This window comes from Homo sapiens, chromosome 7 (assembly GCF_000001405.40).
Source record: "Homo sapiens chromosome 7, GRCh38.p14 Primary Assembly".
NCBI classification, from domain to species: Eukaryota; Metazoa; Chordata; class Mammalia; order Primates; family Hominidae; genus Homo; species Homo sapiens.
In genome coordinates, this window is record NC_000007.14 from 26,832,400 (window position 1) to 26,851,232 (window position 18,833).

Sequence of the window (18,833 nt, forward strand, 5' to 3'; positions counted from 1 at the left end):
ATTCTAATAGACTAGTTATGAAAAAGTTTTAGGATACAGCAGCCTCTTGGTGTCATTAAAAAGGAAGCATAGACTAAGCATCAACCTTTCCTCCTAAAGTTTCCTTGAAATTCCTTTTGTTTGTTTTTAAAGAATAAAGCCTTGAGCCAGGCATGCTGGTGCATGCCTGTAGTCTCAGCTGAGGCAGGAGGATCACTTGAGCCTAGGAGTTCAAGGCCAGCCTGAGCAACACAGCAAGACCCCATCTCTAAAAAAGAAAAAAAGAAGAAAGCTTTAATAAAACTGGTAATCAAGAAAAGGTAAAGAAAGTGGACCAAAATTTTTGAGTAATTCCTTGCAACTGGAAAGCAGATGAGACTGGAGTAATGAAGACACAGCAGAGGACACCTAAGCCCAGGAGGATACCAAGGAGAATAAGTGCTAGTTTTCACAAAGAGAAGACTCAGAGATGCTACAAGCAAAGATACAGGATGATGAAGAACTCATTAAAGAACTGTAATCAAAGCAGCTAGAACCCTTGGGTCCATCCTCAAAAGCAGCTGGCAGTAAAGGCTTGTGTATTCGGGCTAAATCCCAAACTCCACTCTCTCATTCTCTAAGCAAGCGAACTAGCTCCCAAAGAAGCCTTCTCCATGAGCATTGCAACCAAGAGAGAAGCTGAGCAGTGTGTCAGATAACTCTAGACTCCCTACCACCCCAGCACCAAAAAAGTATGCAGAGGGTCAAAAATCTGTAACTAGGAATTAAAAGACACAAACTGTGAGGCGGGCGGATCACAAGGTCAGGGGATCGAGACCATCCTGGCTAACACGGTGAAACCCATCTCTACTAAAAACACAAAAAAAAATTAGCCAGGAGTGGTGGCAGGCACCTGTAGTCCCAGCTACTCAGGAGGCTGAGGCAGGAGAATGGAGTGAACCCAGGAGGCAGAGCTTGCAGTGAGCTGAGATCGCGCCACTGCACCCCAGCCTGGGTGACAAAGAGCAAGACTCCGTCTCAAAAAAAAAAAAAAAAGACACAGACTGGCAGATTGGATAAAGAGTCAACACCCATAGGTGTGCTGTATTCAGGAGACCCATCTGACGTGCAAAGACATACAAAGGGTCAAAATAAAGGGATGGAGGAATATTTACCAAGCAAATGGAAAGCAATAAAAAGCAGGGGTTGCAATCCTAGTCTCTGATAAAACAGACATTAAAACAACAAAGATCAAAAGAGACAAAGAAGGGCATTACATAATGGTAAAGACATCAATGCAACAAGAAGAGCTAACTATCCTAAATATATATGCACCCAATACAGGAGCACCCAGATTCATAAAGCAGGTTCTCAGAGACCCACAAAGAGACTTAGACTCCCACACAATGATACCGGTCAATATTAGATCAACGAGACAGAAAATTAACAAGGATATTCAGGACTTGAGCTCAGCACTGGACCAAGCAGACCTAACAGACATCTACAGAACTCTCCACCCCAAATCAACAGAATATACATTCTTCTCAGCACCACATTGCACTTATTCTAAAATTGACCACATAATTGGAAGTAAAACACTCCTCAGCAAATGCAAAAGAACAGAAATCATAACAGTATCTCAGACCACAGTGCAAGTAAATTAGAACTCAGGATTAAGAAACTCACTCAACACCGCACAACTACATGGAAACTGAACAACCTGCTCCTGAATCACTACTGGGTAAATAACGAAATTAAGGCAGAAATAAATAAGTTCTTTGAAACCAATGAGAACAAAGACACAATGTACCAGAATCTCTGGGACACAGCTAAAGCAGTGTTTAGAGGAAATTTATAGCACTAAATCACCATAAGAGAAAGCAGAAAAGATCTAAAATTGACAACCTAACATCACATCTAAAAGAACTAGAGAAGCAAGAGCAAACAAATTCAAAAGCTAGCAGAAGACAAGAAATAACTAAGATCAGAGCAGAACTGAAGGAGATAGAGACACAAAAAAACCCTTCAAAAAATCAATGAATTCAGGAGCTGGTGTTTTGAAAAGATCAAGAAAATAGATAGACCACTAACCAGACTAATAAAGAAGAAAAGAGAGAAGAATCAAATAGACTCAATAAAAAATGATGAAGGGGATATCACAACTGATCCCACAGAAATACAAACTACCATCAGAAAATACTATAAACACCTCTATGCAAATAAACTAGAAAATCTAAAAGAAATGGATGAATTCCTGGACGCATACACCCTCCCAAGGCTAAACCAGGAAGAAGTCAAATCTCTGAATAGACCCATAACAAGTTCTGAAATTGAGGCAGTAATTAACAGCCTACCAACCAAAAAAGGCCCAGGACCAGACGGATTCACAGCCGAATTCTACCAGAGGTACAAAGAGGATCTGGTACCATTCCTTCTGAAACTATTCCAAACAACAGAAAAAGAGGGACTCCTCCCTAACACATTTTATGAGGCCAGCATCATCCTGATACCAAAACCTGGCAGGGACACAACAAAAAAAGAAAATTTCAGGCCAATATCCCTGATGAACATTGATGTAAAAATCCTCAATGAAATACTGGCAAACAAAATCCAGCAGCACATCAAAAAGCTTATCCACCACAATCAAGTTGGCTTCGTCCCTAGGATGCAAGGCTGGTTTGACATATGCAAATCAATAAACATAATCCATCACATAAACAGAACTAATGACAAAAACCACATGATTATCTCAAAAGATGCAGAAAAGGCCTTCGATAAAATTCAGCAGCCCTTCATGCAAAAAACTCTCAATAAAGTAGGTATTGATGGAATGTATCTCAAAATAATAAGAGCCTATTTTTGACAAACCCACAGCCAATATCATACTGAATGGGCAAAAGCTGGAAGCATTCCCTTTGAAAAGTGGCACAAGACAAGGATGCCCTCTCTCACCACTCCTACTCAACACAGTATTGGAAGTTCTGGTCAGGGCAATCAGGCAAGAGAAAGAAATAAGGGTATTCAAACAGGAAGAGAGGGAGACAAATTGTCTGTTTGCAGATGACATGATTGTATATTTAGAAAACCCCATCATCTCTGCCCAAAATCTCCTTAAGCTGATAAGCAACCTCAGCAAAGACTCAGGATACAAAATCAATGTGCAAAAATCACAAGCATTCCTATACACCAATAATAGACAAACAGCCAAATCATGAGTGAACTCCCATTCACAATTGCAACAAGAAGAATAAAATACCTAGGAATACAACTTACAGAAGATGTGAAGGACCTCTTCAAGGAGAACTACAAACCACTGCTCAAGGAAATAAGAGAGAACACATACAAATGGAAAAATATTCCATGCTTATGGATAGGAAGAATCAATATCATGAAAAATGGCCATACTACCCAAAGTAATTTATAGACTCAATGCTATCCCCATCAAGCTACCACTGACTTTCTTCACAGAATTAGAAAAAACTACTTTAAATTTCATACGGAACCAAAAAAGAGCCCGTATAGCCAAGACAATCCTAAACAAAAAAGAACAAAGCTGGAGGCATCACGCTATCTGACTTCAAACTATATTACAAGGTTACAGTAATCAAAACAGCATGGCACTGGTACCAAAACAGATACATAGACCAACGGAACAGAAAAGAGGCCACAGAAATAATGCCACACATCTACAACCATCTGATCTTTGACAAACCTGACAAAAACAAGCAATGGGGAAATGATTCCCTATTTAATAAATGCTGTTGGGAAAACTGGCCAGCCATATGCAGAAAACTGAAACTGGACCCCTTCCTTACATCTTATACAAAAATTAACTCAAGTTGGATTAAAGCCTTAAATGCAAGACATAAAACCATAAAAACCCTAGAAGAAAACCTAGGCTATACCATTCAGTACATAGGCATGGGCAAAGACTTCATGACTAAAACACCAAAAGCAATGGCAACAAAAGCCAGAATTGACAAATGCAACCTAATTAAACTAAAGAGCTTCTGCACAGCAAAAGAAACTATCATCAGAGTGAACAGGCAACCTACAGAATGGGAGAAAAATTTTGCAATCTATCCATCTGACAAAGGGCTAATATGCAGAATCTACAAAGAACTTAAATTACAAGAAAAAAACAAACAACCCCACCAAAAAGTGGGCGAAGGATATGAACAGACACTTCTCAAAAGAAGACATTTATGCGGCCAAAAACATAAGAAGAAAAGCTCATCATCACTGGACATGAGAGAAATGAAAATCAAACCACCATGAGATACCATCTTACACCAGTTAGAACAGTGATCATTAAAAAGTCAGGAAACAACAGATGCTGGAGAGGATGTGGAGAAATAGGAATGCTTTTACACTGTTGGTGGGAGTGTAAATTAGTTCAACCATTGTGGAAGACAGTGTGACGATTCCTCAAGGATCTAGAACTAGAAATACCATTTGACCCAGCAATCCCAATACTGGGTGTATACCCAAAGGATTATAAATCATTCTACTATAAAGATACATGAACACGTATGTTTATCACAGCACTGTTCACAATAGCAAAGACTTGGAGCCAACCCAAATGCATCAATGATAGACTGGGTAAAGAAAATGTGGCACATATACACCATGGAATACTATGCAGCCATAAAAAAGGATGAGTTCGTGTCCTTTGCAGGGTCACAGATGAAGCTGGAAACCATCATTCTCAGCAAACTAACACAAGAACAGAAAACCACACATTGCATGTTCTCACTCATAAGTGGGAGTTGAACAATGAGAACACATGGACGCAGGGAGGGGAACATCACACACCATGGCCTGTCAGGGGGTTGGGGGCTAGGGGAGGGATAGCATTAGGAGAAATACCTAATGTAGATGATGGGTTGATGGGTGCAGCAAACCACCATGGCACATGTATACCTATGTAACAAACCTGCACGCTCTGCACATGTACCCCAGAACTTAAAGTATAATAATAAGAAAAAGAAAGAGGTTTAATTGGCTTATGGTTCTGAAGGCTGTACAGGAAGCATGGCACTGGACATCTGCTTGGCTTCTGAGAAAGCCTCAGGAAGCTTACAATCATGGTGGAAGGCAAAGCGGGAGCAGGCACAACACACGGTAAAAGAACAAGAGACAGAGAGTGGGGTTGGGAGGTGCCACATACTTTTAAATGACCAGATTTCACAAGAACTCACTGTCACGAAGATAGCACGAGGCCATGAGGGATTTGCCCCATGATCCAAACACCCCCCAACAGGCCCCACCTCCAGCACTGGGAATTACAATTCAACATGTGATTTGGGCGGAGATAAATATCCAAACTATATTAGGTGGAGACAGATTTAGCGTTTCTAACAAGCTCCCAGATGATGCTGATACTGTTGGTCTACTGACCATACTTTGAGTAGGAAAGGGCTAGAAAATCACTTCCTTTTCAGTACAATATCCACCTCTCTAGCCCAGAGTCTTATCAACACTCCCTTAATCAAAAGCAGCAGAGCAGTATGCTAGCTGGGGAAGAGGGAAAAAGTAACTCTTTTAAGAGCAGAGCATAATCCTTACAGTTGACAGACATGAATTCAAATTCCAGTTCTGCCACTATGTAGCTATATGCCATTGGGCATATCACTTAACCTCTCTATTTTAGGTTTCCTCATTTGTCAAATAGTGATAGTACTCTACTTCATAGAGATACTGTCATGATTAAAAATAAGTAATGTAGCAAAGCATTTAGCTTGCTACCTCCACTAGATGGTCTCTACGCCTTCATTTAACCTACATTTAACTTCCAGGACAATATCCCTCAAATCTGCATCCCTCACTTCAGTATACTCCTTCAGGGATCTCTTAATGACTACCAAATCAAAGGTAAATTCCTTAATTTGGCATTCAGCTCCTACTATAAATCATGCACCTACCTCCAAGACCCCCTCCACTCCTTCCTATTCAATACCACCTCTGGTCGTCACCCATATCTTCCCCATGCAGATCACCTCACCTCACTGCCACCATTCAATTTACTAATTCTGAAATGTGGGGACACAAGCATTTAGTGCTCTAGGGAACGTCTAAGCAATTACCCGGTTCAAACTCTTCATTTCACATACCAGAAAATAAAAATCCAAAAAGGCCTAAGCAACTTGTCCTTGACAAAAAAGTTATCATCAATTATAATGAAAACCTGGTTTCTGAGCTTGAACTCCAAAAGTTCTTTTCAGTTTGTTTTCCCATTCTCTGCAACAAACCTCAAGACCCACATAAAACTCACTTAAATAAAAGGCCCTCCCTCCACAATCTCTTAGAATTTAGGCATAAAGTTTATGCTGTGGTTTTTTTGACAGGATGCTAAAACATATGGCTGATTCAGCCAATACATCAGGAAGTAAAATCAATGAAACCAACTACTTGCCTTGGTATAGACTAAATCAATTGAATATTGTAGCACGTAGTATTTATTATTTTTGGAATCTGGTTTAATATAACCTAGATTGCTAGTTACCTTATTCTAGGTGATTATCTTCTCCTGCCATCTAGATTACATTTTTCTTAAAAATAGGAACTTTATCTTATTCACCCCCAATTGCCCTGTCCAAGTATCTTGTTCTCCTCTTCATGTACTGTGTAAATAACTGCTAATTTGCTGAATTAAAGATGCATTATTTTTCATAATGTTGAGTTTTACTTAACCTTTGCAGTCTTTCGTATCTAGTCCACTTTGTTATAGTATCATCCGTCCACTCTGTTTTATTCTGATGAATTTTCCTGATCAATAGCATAAAAACTTAGAAAGATAATTCTCAATGGCTATGTGTTTTATTTACTAATATATACCTTTGTATCACAAAAATATTTTACATCTGTGTACTTTATATCCCCAATTGCACAATATATACCTTGAGGATTAAAAATATGTCCTCTACTTTCTGTCATTTCCTCAACTATAATCCCTTCTCTTCCACCAAAATACTTGAAACTGTGCTATACACATAGCACAATGACTAAAATAATCATTGTTATTAAACTGCTAAAACATATATAAGCTAGCAATTTGGCATATTAAGACAACCCAAAAATTTTAAAAACAAAAGTGAAATGTTGATACATGTTATATATGCAAAAATATGTGCAAATTGCAAATTAATTGAATTTTTTAGAACAAAATACAAAAGATAATTTTAGGTGTCAAAAATATGATAGTGGGTTAAAAACACCCTAAATGCTAAGTTATTGAAAAATTTTTTTTCTAGTTTTAAACATTGTTTCATAGTTATCCTAAATGCTAAGTTATTGAAAAAAACCTTTTTTTCCAGTTTTAAACATTGTTTCATACTCTACTGATATGAGAGAAAAGTAAAACATCTATTTCGTGGCTTTTGTAAGAACTGATTAGTGCTACACCTAATTTTACACAAAAAAAGTCTTCCTCAAAAATTTGGTACATTAAATTTATGTTGTGCACACGGACAGGTTTATATCTAAGCCTGTTTTAGACACTTTCTAAGAGCTAATTATTTATAGGCATCCTGGAGACAATCTCTCTAAAGAAATCTGTTGGAAAAAATGATTTACATGCTTTATTAATCCAAATTTTTGTACATTGGATTTTTGTAAAGAAAAGTATACCAAAAAAAATTTTTAATATTATAAATTATGATAATAGTTCAGCCTTTTTCTTAATCCCTGAGATTTAAAAAATAGTTCCATTCCTAAAAAAAAATTTCTTCACACAAACCTGTGTCTCGCAATGCCCACAGCCTTTCAGTAACCTAGGTTATTCAGAAATTTTTAGTTAGAAAGACACCAGGACAATAAATGACTGTTCTATATTTTCAGCTTCATTTTAGCCTTCCTGTATTCACACCCTAGAGGTTTCAGATTTTTATCCACAAAGTGATTATGGTCTAGGACTGAATCAGATTTGTAACATACATCTACTGGGATCCTTCGACCTATCGTCGAGGGGCAGAGCCAATATATGTCTTCTAGCTCACTGAATCCTTTCACCTTACCTTAGAGACTTTCCATAGTGCTATATAGTTAGAAGCTTTCTTTCACAAATGACAAAAATGAATGAAAAATGATTTCAGAATAGAAAAATGGAAACCCAAGTAATTATATGGTGTCTAAAGTCTACTCTATATCTACCCACCTTAGTGCCTAAACATTTTAAAGTGTACAGAAAGGGATATTCTTTAAGGTTGTAAATCTCATTATCTCTAACTTTATCTGATTACTGACATGCACCATTTATACTGAAACTCCAATATATCCAGCCACATGATAGCATAAAACTTCTAACAGTGATCTACAATAGTCTAGAAACTATTACGATTTTTTTGTTTTCCAGAAAAAAATCAAGCATAAAGCTAATAAAATGAAACTTCTAATAAGTATACTTTCTTCTAAATAGAATATCAAAATGAAACTCTAACAGCAGTCATGCAATCATTTATAAATAAAATACAGACTCTTATTCTTTTTCCTAAAAAGGTATTTGGCATGTCATTCTCTCTTTTTTTGCTATTGGTCTCAAAATGTAGTTCTTCTCAAAAAATATAAAACATAAGAAGCATTTCCAAAGAGGGAAAAGAAAAATTTACAAAGTACAATATTTTTAAGCTACAAGCTATACAAAAATCTGTCACCATCTATGTTACAATTCTAGTAATCAATAAGGTACTTTTTTCCAATGTACAACTCAAAAATCAATTATATCAACTCTTTTGTATAGAGAAGCAGCACACCTTTCAGGCAACTAGTATTAATGAGTAGACATGACTATAGAATCTCCATCTGTTTCTCTGACAAAGCTGTGGCTACTCTAGTCTCTCATTGAAATTCCATTAATCTGGTGTACCAAGGTCCAATGCGAAAATCAAAACTGCATCTAACCCTTTATCAGCTCACAATAACCTACAAGTGAACTCTGCCTGTTAGCATGCAGCAAGTTATGATTTTGCTATCAATCAGGCAGTTGGCCAATAAAAAAAAAAAGGCAGGCTGAAAACAACGTACCTGGCAGGGTTTGGAAACTTTCTTTTTGTTGTTTTCATCCCCATTCAATTTCTATACGGTGCCTGGACCTTGTAAGATTATGCATTATTCTCCTTGGCTATGATTTAATTGCTACCAGCAATCAAGTCGAAGCATCACTGAAGTGTGCTTGAATTTCATTAGAAGATATAACTTATGCTGCTTTCCTACAGTACCTAATAAACCATAAAGAAACCAAAACACATATGGCTTGGGGGAATAACTGGAAAATTAGGTGGCCATTTGGGAACTGAGTGAACTTTTGAACCAGAGGAATAGAGAAAAATAAATATTAAAGCAAAAGACAGACTTAGAATGCACATAGAGATGTGCAGGTTTGACCTTTTCAGTACCTTGAAAATTACATTAGCATTATGAAAAATACATATCATGTTTAGAGTTTATAACCCATTGAAGTTTAGATACTTTCTTAGTGCCTTCCATAAGGTAAAAGTCAAAAGGACAAAACAACAATCTGATTTGACAAAAGGCCTTTTGGTGACCTGTGCTAATTCGGTTATGCTTATTGTTAAATGCATTATCTTTTTTATAATTAATATATTATTGGACTGAGGTCACATAATGAAGCAAATTTATTCATCAAAGGAAAGAGAACACACACAAAATCTAAGTTGAAGAGAGAAAAACTGATACATTGAGATGATATTTTAGAGTGAATATTAAATGTCCAAGTGGTAGTTTAAAAATTAATTTTAATAATGATATTCTTAGAAGAAAATGTGAAAGTATCAAAAACAGTATTATTTATATATCAAAAATGAGTAATACTACAGGTAAAAGTTTTAATCTGCTCAAGAATTGCTTAAACACTAATGAATAGGCACTATTAACAAAAAAACTTGATGTTACATATAAATGTTATTAAATAATATTTAAAATCAATAAAATAACCTTTTAACAACAATCTTTTAGTGTATTTCCTGAATATTTTGTTATAAAAATATATGATAAATTATTTACTATTAAAAAGAAAACAATAATGTAAATGCACTATAATTTAATAATAATTTACTTTTTCTAACAAGCTACTGGAAGATTTCTGGCTCTCATAGATATTTAATTGTTGAATTTCTTTTTAGGTTGCAAATTTTTCAAGAATACACATAGCACTCCCCTGTATATCAAAATGTTTATGCTATTTTAAGAAACTATGTCTATATAGTCTATGAATATATTCTCCGTATGTCTCTCTTAGTATAAATATTCTGTCTGTGTATGTGTATACACACATACATTCATATATACCAACATTTTACAGAGAAATAAAGCAATTGTAATGTGTCTGAAAAATAGTACCACTTAAATAATAATTCATTGTTTTGCCTGAAAATATTATTTCTTTGATTATAAAACATTTTCTAGTAGAAATGCTTTTGAAGATGAGGTTGGAAAGGGTAATGCTCTGTTTTGGTGAAGAGAAAAGAAATGCTTATCTCTTTAAAAGATAGAAAGTGAATATAACAGCAAAAAAAAACCCTCCCTTTAAAAATAGAAATTAAATGTTTGCCGAAGCATAAAATTCAACATAAAATAGATATGACTATTATTGCTACACTTTGTACAAAGTTCTGGATATAAAAAAAGATTGTTTTGTACTGAATCACTGGTTAGAATGTTTATCACTTATGCATGTACTTGACTTATCCCCGTTCTGCAACAGACATAATTTTATACCTCATAAAAGCAATTTATGTTTCCAAAGGGAATAATCTGGATAACATAAAATGTGGAGTGCTCTGTTGCAGGAAGCATATTTTCATTCAGCAATTGTATTTAGAGATGGAACTGCACAGTTTGATCATCACATAGTGGCAGAAGGTATTATTCATTTCTATGTCTATGTGAAACTTTGAGTGCTACAAATTAATATGCATGACTAATTTATTGATACACATTCTTAATTTATAACTATATATTACCCTTATAAGGTTTCTATAATGCAGATGTACTCAATGGCTATAACAGAGAAAGTACATACTACACTAAAAACAAGTTTCATAACTTTGGCAACATTCAATAGCTTTTAGAAATTACTAAGAGATAAATTTATTACTAATTCAGTTAATACAAACACTGCAATATTACTGCATAATATGGTCCACTTTTAAGTGACAATATAAAAATGAAAATGCGCATTAAAAGAAGCATTTGATAAAAACCTGTCTCAGTGTGAAGAGGCAATGTCGGAAAATTAACTTAATATTTTATTAACTCATTTTGTATAAAGTTTTCAGAAAAAAATAGATCAAAAATCTTTTTTATTATTTATAAAATAAATAATACAGTAAGCCTTCAAGTAGCATAATAAAATTAAGCAAGAATCTGATAATATTAAATTAACTATCAAACTGTTACTAATAATATTCATATGATGATACAGGCACTCTCTCAAAAATTTTAGTAAAGAAAATTTCCAAGAAAAAGAACCAACTACATACTTAGGAAAACCTCACCAGAACCACTAGAGAGAGCTCTTCTGTTCCTTAAAAGGTTTTGGTAAAGGTAAGTTAACCGAAGCCTCTATGTTCATCTGCTTTCTCATAAAACTACCACCCATATATATAGCATTGTTTTGTGTGAGTGTCAGAGTTACGTGGGAAAATGTCACATACCATCAGAGGGGGCTTCATCGTCTTTATCATATCGTTCTGAGGCTAATGAAATAGTGTCTGGAGGCCCAGCAAAAGGGTCATCATATTCTTCCCCATCTTCTGCATCACCTGTTAAAAAAAAAAAAAATCAGAGAACTGCCTTTTATACTTTAGCCATTTAAAGTAATGTTACTTAATGTTAATGTTACTTTGTTAGAAGAGGTAAATTCTACTAGTAAATTGAGTCATTGTCATGGAAAAACAAAGAAAACTTTTAAAACTAGGTAAAAACAGGTCTTATTTTATTTTATAGCCATTGTAACTTAGATATAGTAAGAATTTTTGAAGGTCATTATACAATTGCTTATTTATGACACAAAAGGATATAGTCCAAAATTATGATGATCTCTACAAAGAAGAATCCAAAAAGTAGAAGCAGGGTAAAACAGAGTGTATATCCAAACGAACAAAACCAAGATAACAGTAACAACAACAACAACAAAACCCAGGAAGCACAACAGAAAACATAATACAAGTAATTCCATTTACCTATTCAATAATTTGAAAAATTATGATGAGAAACTAATAATTTGAAGCTGTATGAATATTTTGTATAAAATCATTTTATACATTTTTATACATTTTATACATTTTTAGAGAGGATTAAAAATAATCTGTTGCATTTTCCAGAGCACAAATCTTTTAAAATCTTTTATAGAAAAAACTGCTTTAAAATTTTCATAATCTTTTTAAATTCAAGTAAGGGTAATTTACAAACTAGACACTTTCAGTTTCATTCAATGGTATGTTATTACTTTTTAATGTTCTGGCCAGTTTCCAACTTGATTTTCAAATCCTAGGTTCGTTGGTCGATTTTTTGATTGACTTTTCTATTTTAGGCTAATTAATCTCCACAAGATCTTGTGGTTTCAATTTTTTCCATATAATCATTTAAAATAATTTTTTTAAAAAAACACAAATATTTGCTAGCCCAGTTACACATAAGCATTCATTTGTCACCCGGATTTCACAACAAAGAAAAAAGTATGCTTAATTCTACATTAAGTATTTGACTGTTGAATTCAAGTTACCTGACAGAAAAACAGCCACCTCAGGGATTACCCTTAAAGCACAAGGAAAATCCCCATAGGAACCGCAGAGTGCCTATAGTATTACTTTTGAACCACAGTTCCTGGCAGATTCAGATTAATGCTACTTGTCTCTCCAAAAGGGTATCTTTGTCCTCTGACACCCATTTGATGGGTGTCACCCTATTTGTTACCACATTTTTGGTAGAGAAAATAGCCTCTCTCAAGACAACACTGTCCAAATAATTTTTTAAAAATACATATTCCTATTTCCTTATAATTTTGCCACTTTGTGAGCAACTGTCATCAGAGACATCTCTCATTAAGATGATAAGGGCAGAACATAGAGATGGCTATATTGTCATCCTTAGGGATTCTACTACTAGGTACAGTAAATATGGTGATGTTACTCCCACAGTTAAAATTCTAAGGAACACATAAATACTACTCATTCTTTGGAACTTAATTTCTCTTTCTTTTCAGATGTTCAAAGTCCTTTTCAGAACACTCAATGATCCCTTACAATATTTCTCTTATGAAAAGAAGAGTGCTAGGCTGGTGGCAGTGCTCACGCCTGTAATCTCAGCTACTCAGCATGCTTGAGGCCAGAAGATCGCTTGTGGCCAGGAATTAGACACCAGGCTGGGCAACATAGCAAGACCACATCTCTAAATAAAAATAAAAACAATTAGCCGGGTGTGGTGGCCTGCACCTATAGTCACATCTGTGGGAGGCTGAGGTAAGAGGACCGCTTGAGCCCAGGAGTTTGAGGCTGCAGTGAGCTATAACTGCACCACTGCATTCCAGCCTGGGCAACAGACCAAGACCCCATCTCTAAAAAAAAATTTTTTTAACAAAAGAAGAGTGCTCTGATTTCAAATATAAGGTAGGAAGGAACTTCATAAAGTGCTAGTAAACATATTTTGATCATGTTACAACAGTTCATGGAATATGTACCAGTAGGGATCAAGAAATTCTCAGTTACTCTTAGTTGTTAGAGTATCTTTACATTCTTAATGAAATTAAGAATTTTTGTGGTATGAATTTTCCAAGAATATTTCATATCTCACACAAAAAAAATCTTGCTGCAAAAAAAAGTATTAGGATACTTCAAAAACATTACTAGAACTTAGCATGTGGCATATTTTGCTATTATAACTATTTAAAACCAACAGTGAAACCAAATAATATATAGCAAAGATTTTGAAAAAAATTCAGATATTCAGGCTTAAATTATATTAAATTCTAGGTGGAAGTAAACAGAAAAAATTAAAACTTAGTTTTTAAAATTAGAAGTAGTTTATTATCCTTTGATAACATCCATTATTATGTGTGCATATATATATGTGTATATATGCATTTATATACACATACACACAAATGCAAACACGATTCTATATTCAACGAATATGTATAAATATATACATACATATCAACAGTTCATTACTAAAGCTATAAACTCAAAGTAAAGAGTATTTATTCTACACAAACTGATCACTAACAGGTGAAAGACCTGAGAGGCTTTCATGGTTTGGTTTTTATGAAAGTCATGGTTTTGACTTTTATAGAAAGTCATGGTTTCGGTTTTTATTTTAAAAAATAGACCGGGTGCGGTGGCTCACGCCTGTAATCCCAGCACTGTGGGAGGCCAAGGCAGGTGGATCACCTGAGCTCAGGAGTTTGAGACCAGCCTGGCCAACATGGCAAAACCCCGTCTCCACTAAATATACAAAAGTTAGCCGGGCATGATGGCAGGCACCTGTAATCCCAGCTACTCGGGAGGCTGAGGCAGGGAGAACTGCTTGAACCTGGGAGGCGGTGAGCCAAGATCATGCCACTGCAGTGGGCCAAGATTATGCCACTGCACTCCAGCCTGGGCAACAGAGACTCTGTCTCAAAAAATCAAAATAAAAATAAAACGCTTTTGGGTTATATATTAAAATGAAATTGTCTTCAACTTACCCATTCTAAGAATTGCAGCTCACTGCAAGTATTTTTTTTTTTAAATCAGTGTGATGTTTACATTTACCTAAGACAAAATGAATTAAGTACTGCTACTGGCTTCACTTCTTCCTTATTTTTTTCTCCCCATAATCCTTTGAATTAACTCAGAGAGCAAAGAATCTATATGCTATATATACAGGGATAGCCCCTTTTTAACCTGCATTAAGTGGAAAGGACACATCATTTTTCAAGATGGTCTTCTTCATCTTACCATTGTTCCAGTGATGGTCCATCCCTTTTCCTCCCCCCTAATTTTTTTTTCGACCCAATAAAGAGTAAAAGCTGCTGTCTTATAAGGAGTTTTAACTGAACGCAGGGGTTACTGTTGAGTAGTGCAAAGCATTTTTCCTCCCCAGGGGCTGAGTATTTGTAGTTATACCTGCAAAGACTTCGATAAATTAAAAAAAAAAAAGTTCAACTTGCATTTATGTAATACAAAACTGAACTCCAAATCAACAATAGGCATCAGGTAAACATATCCAATATAATTTACAGACATAAGTGAAAGCATTACAGCTAATCACACATCTAAAGAAAAGCACACTCAAATGAAATGTCTACAGAATCATTAGTTGGCAGCCATTCTATTACAATCACACAAAATGTCAGTGGTGCTGTGAGCCTGTGCCACTGACAATAGCATAAATTTTGCATCTCATTTCTGTGGTCATAAAATTAATGATCAGTTTAAAAATACTTCTTTGTAAAAGTTATTGCACAAAGAAAAGACATGAATGTGTCCCTGTTATGTACTCACAAGGATAATGATGGGGTTGTTGCTCATTAATACTGTTTCTTGTTTCCCTAGAAAAGCATTTGATTTATCCCACAACTTTCAAAAGTTTAATTAACGATACAAAGTTAACAGAATAAAAGACAATGATCCAAGACTTACCTTCCTATAATTTCAGTAGTAACAAACATTGCAACAAACTCAAGGTTTAATCATACTACAGCAGCATATTTTTCTGAAAAACATTTTTAAATTTATACTAGCTGGGATCAAATTACTATTAGCCATTCTTTCTGATATGGTTCATTATCAATTAACATTTTCCCAAATGCCTAGAGATGTAGCCCAACAACAACTGAACAGTCATAATCTCTACAACCACTGAAGCTGATTTACCCAATTTGTTGCTTGTTTTTTCAAAACAGTCCTATTTTAAACACAATCAGGTAAACAGGAAATGAAGTAATATACAGGTTGAACATCCCTAAATCAACAGAACTCCAAAATGTTCCAAAATCCAAAACTTTTTGAGTGTCAGTATGACAACACAAATGGAAAATTCCATGCCTAACATCTTTGCTTTCTGATGGTTCAATGTACGCAAACTTTAGTTCATGCACAAAATTACAAGGTGTATATGAAACATAAATGAATTTAGTGTCACACTTAGGTTCCGTCCCCCAAGATAGCTCATTATATATATGCAAATGTCCCAAAATCCAAAATCTGAAACACTTCTGGTCCCAAGAACTTTGGATAAGGGATACTACTAAACCTGTACCTAAAATCTGAGTGATAACCATTCCTTCTTACTGGAAGACAAATGGGGAAAAATTACTCTAATGAAAATAAATTAATTTCTAATTCTCTACATAGTTCACTTGTCTAATTTTTCAAGTAATAATATATAGCTAAATATACATAATTAAGCATTTAACTTGTCATTTCTTCAGGAAAAGTTTCATTCTTAAGGCTCTGAAGAATCTAGGTCAATGAAAGGAAGATTCTCCTCATAATTCTTCTACAATAGGAGGGCATGCAAATACTAAAGACAACTTCTGGCACAAAACTGGGGCAGAGCTTTAAAATAAGAAAAAACCATTTTTCAAGCACTGCCTGTGAAATATACTTCTACTACTACAGGTCCCATCATTTCAAACATGCTTAAGACATTTTTACAAGGCCAATGGTGGGGGTAGGTGGTCGAAGGAAAAAGCTGTGAATTATTTCCTCAGATTTCACTGTGGAGTTATCGTTCAACAGAAAACACACTATGTTAGGAAGGGTTAAAAAAGGAAATTAAACATCATCCAAACTTCAGACTTTTCTGCTATTCTTATTCTGCTATTCTTAGTCCATTAATAAACTTAAGAAACAGCATGAGTGAGAAGGTCAAAGGAAACTGCTTTCTAAGTAAATCTATGCATATTTAACAATATCAATAAAATATTAAGGCAAAATCTATTTTTTTTTACAATTAGAGCAAAAAGATTTTAAAGGAGAAAATGAGACTTTTATCTATCTCTAGCACCTGAAGCAGTATATTCCCCTTTTTCAAAACTGTAGACACTAGGCCGGGCACAGTGGTCCACACCTGCCCGGCACTTTGGGAGGCCAAGGTGGGCAGATTACCTGAGGTCAGGAGTTCGAGACCAGCCTGACCAACATGGTGAAACCCCGTCTCTCCTAAAAATACAAAAAATTAGCCAGGCGTGGTGGTGGATGCCTGTAATCCCAGCTACTCGGGAGGCTGAGGAAGGAGAATCGCTTGAACCCAGGAGGTAGAGGTTGTAGTGAGCAGAGACCACGCCACTGCACTCCAGCCTGGGTGCGACAGAGTGAGACTCCATCTCAAAAAAAAAAAAAAAAAGCTGTAGACACTAACATTTTACAAATTTGAAAAAAAAATCTCATGAAACATTTGACTAATGCTAATAAATATGCCCTTCTTTTAATAATTGATCATTTTCCCCCAAATTGTTTGAAAACTGAATTTATGAATCAAGATTAACTTAAATCTTCTTGACAAATGAAGTTGAATCTGAGAATATGCATTAATATTTATTAAACACCTACTATGTACTTTCACATTATCTTATTTCAGTACATCATTCTATAAAGAAAGTAATCACACCTAAATCATCTCTGGAGAAAACTGAGACTAATACATGATCAAGACACAACTATAGCCCAAATTTTTTTATCATGTACTTAATATATACAGTATTAGAAAATTCTTATTAGTCAATAACAGTATTTACTAAATAGTAACATATTCTCATTGCAAAAATAATTATTTCAAGTCAACTAAGAGACCTATGACCTTGTTATGTGATAGAGAACAATGCTGAAATAATCACATAGCATAATTCCAGTGCATGAAGCCTAAATTCGGGAGGATACTTTATAATATGAGGCAATATTGCAAGTAAAAATCTACGGTTAGAAACTAGGTTATTCTGTCGGCCGAGCATGGTGACTCATGCCTGTAAGTCCCAGCACTTTGGGAGGCCAAGGCGGGTGGTCTCTTGAGCCCAGGAGTTCAAGACCAGCCTGGGCAACATGGCGAAAACCCATCTCTACAAAAAAATACAATACACAGGCAGCGTACCTATAGTCCCAGCTACTCAGGAGGCTAAATGGAAAAAGGATCACCTTAGCCTCCCAAAGGAGCTGGGGGAGGCTGAGGCTGCAGTGAGTCATGATCACACCACTCCACTCCAGCCTGGATGACAGAGTGAGATCCTATCTCAAAAAAAAAAGAAAAAAAAAGGAAAAAGAAAAGAAAAAAAGAAACTAGGTTATTCTGTCACGTACAATACTTTGAAGGATATAAGAAGGAACTATCTGTTCCAGATAAAACAAGCAATATTTCAAATGAATAACAAGGACTAGACTAAGCAAGAAGTGTTCTAGCTGATTAGATTCAAATCTTTCCTAAGTACAAGTAAAATTAAGGAATTTAGAAAATCAGCTGATAATTATTCTAAAGCGGCAATTTGTCAGATCTCTTCAATAGGGGAATCAAGACTTGCACATGTAAAGATAAAAGAAGAATTTTAATAAATGAAAAAGAAAGTTTTAAAACAATAGCTTTCTATGGAAATGAATATAAACAAGTGAAAAATTAGCCTAATACACAAGCTTCAGTATCTAGAAGCCACTGTAATAAAACGAGTTTCTACCAGTGTAAACTATTCTCACCCAAAAAAATGGAAATACCAAAAAAATCTCCTAAGATCTATGCAGCCTAGTGTTTCAACTACCATATCAACTCAATTAATTTTAAATTTTAGGAATTGACAGCCAGGCAGGGTGGCTCATGCCTGTGATCCATCACTTTGGGAGGCTGAGGCAGCTGATCTCTTTAGCCCAGGAACTCGAGACCAGTCTGTGACA

General features: G+C 35.3%; 1 protein-coding gene and 1 long non-coding RNA gene across 4 annotated transcripts in view; one reads left to right on the forward strand and one right to left on the reverse strand.

Annotated features, from left to right (window-relative positions):
* SKAP2 (src kinase associated phosphoprotein 2) overlaps window positions 1-18,833 on the reverse strand; it is a 209,821-nt gene that overhangs the window by 177,630 nt on the left and 13,358 nt on the right. For all 3 annotated transcript variants that reach the window (XM_017012771.3, NM_003930.5, NM_001303468.2), the window contains exon 4: window positions 11,631-11,738. In XM_017012771.3, the coding sequence (XP_016868260.1) occupies window positions 11,631-11,738 (108 nt within the window). The remainder of the gene's footprint in view (window positions 1-11,630; window positions 11,739-18,833) is intronic.
* LOC124901606 (uncharacterized) overlaps window positions 1-18,833 on the forward strand; it is a 51,980-nt gene that overhangs the window by 26,838 nt on the left and 6,309 nt on the right. The gene's annotated exons all lie outside the window — the stretch shown is intronic.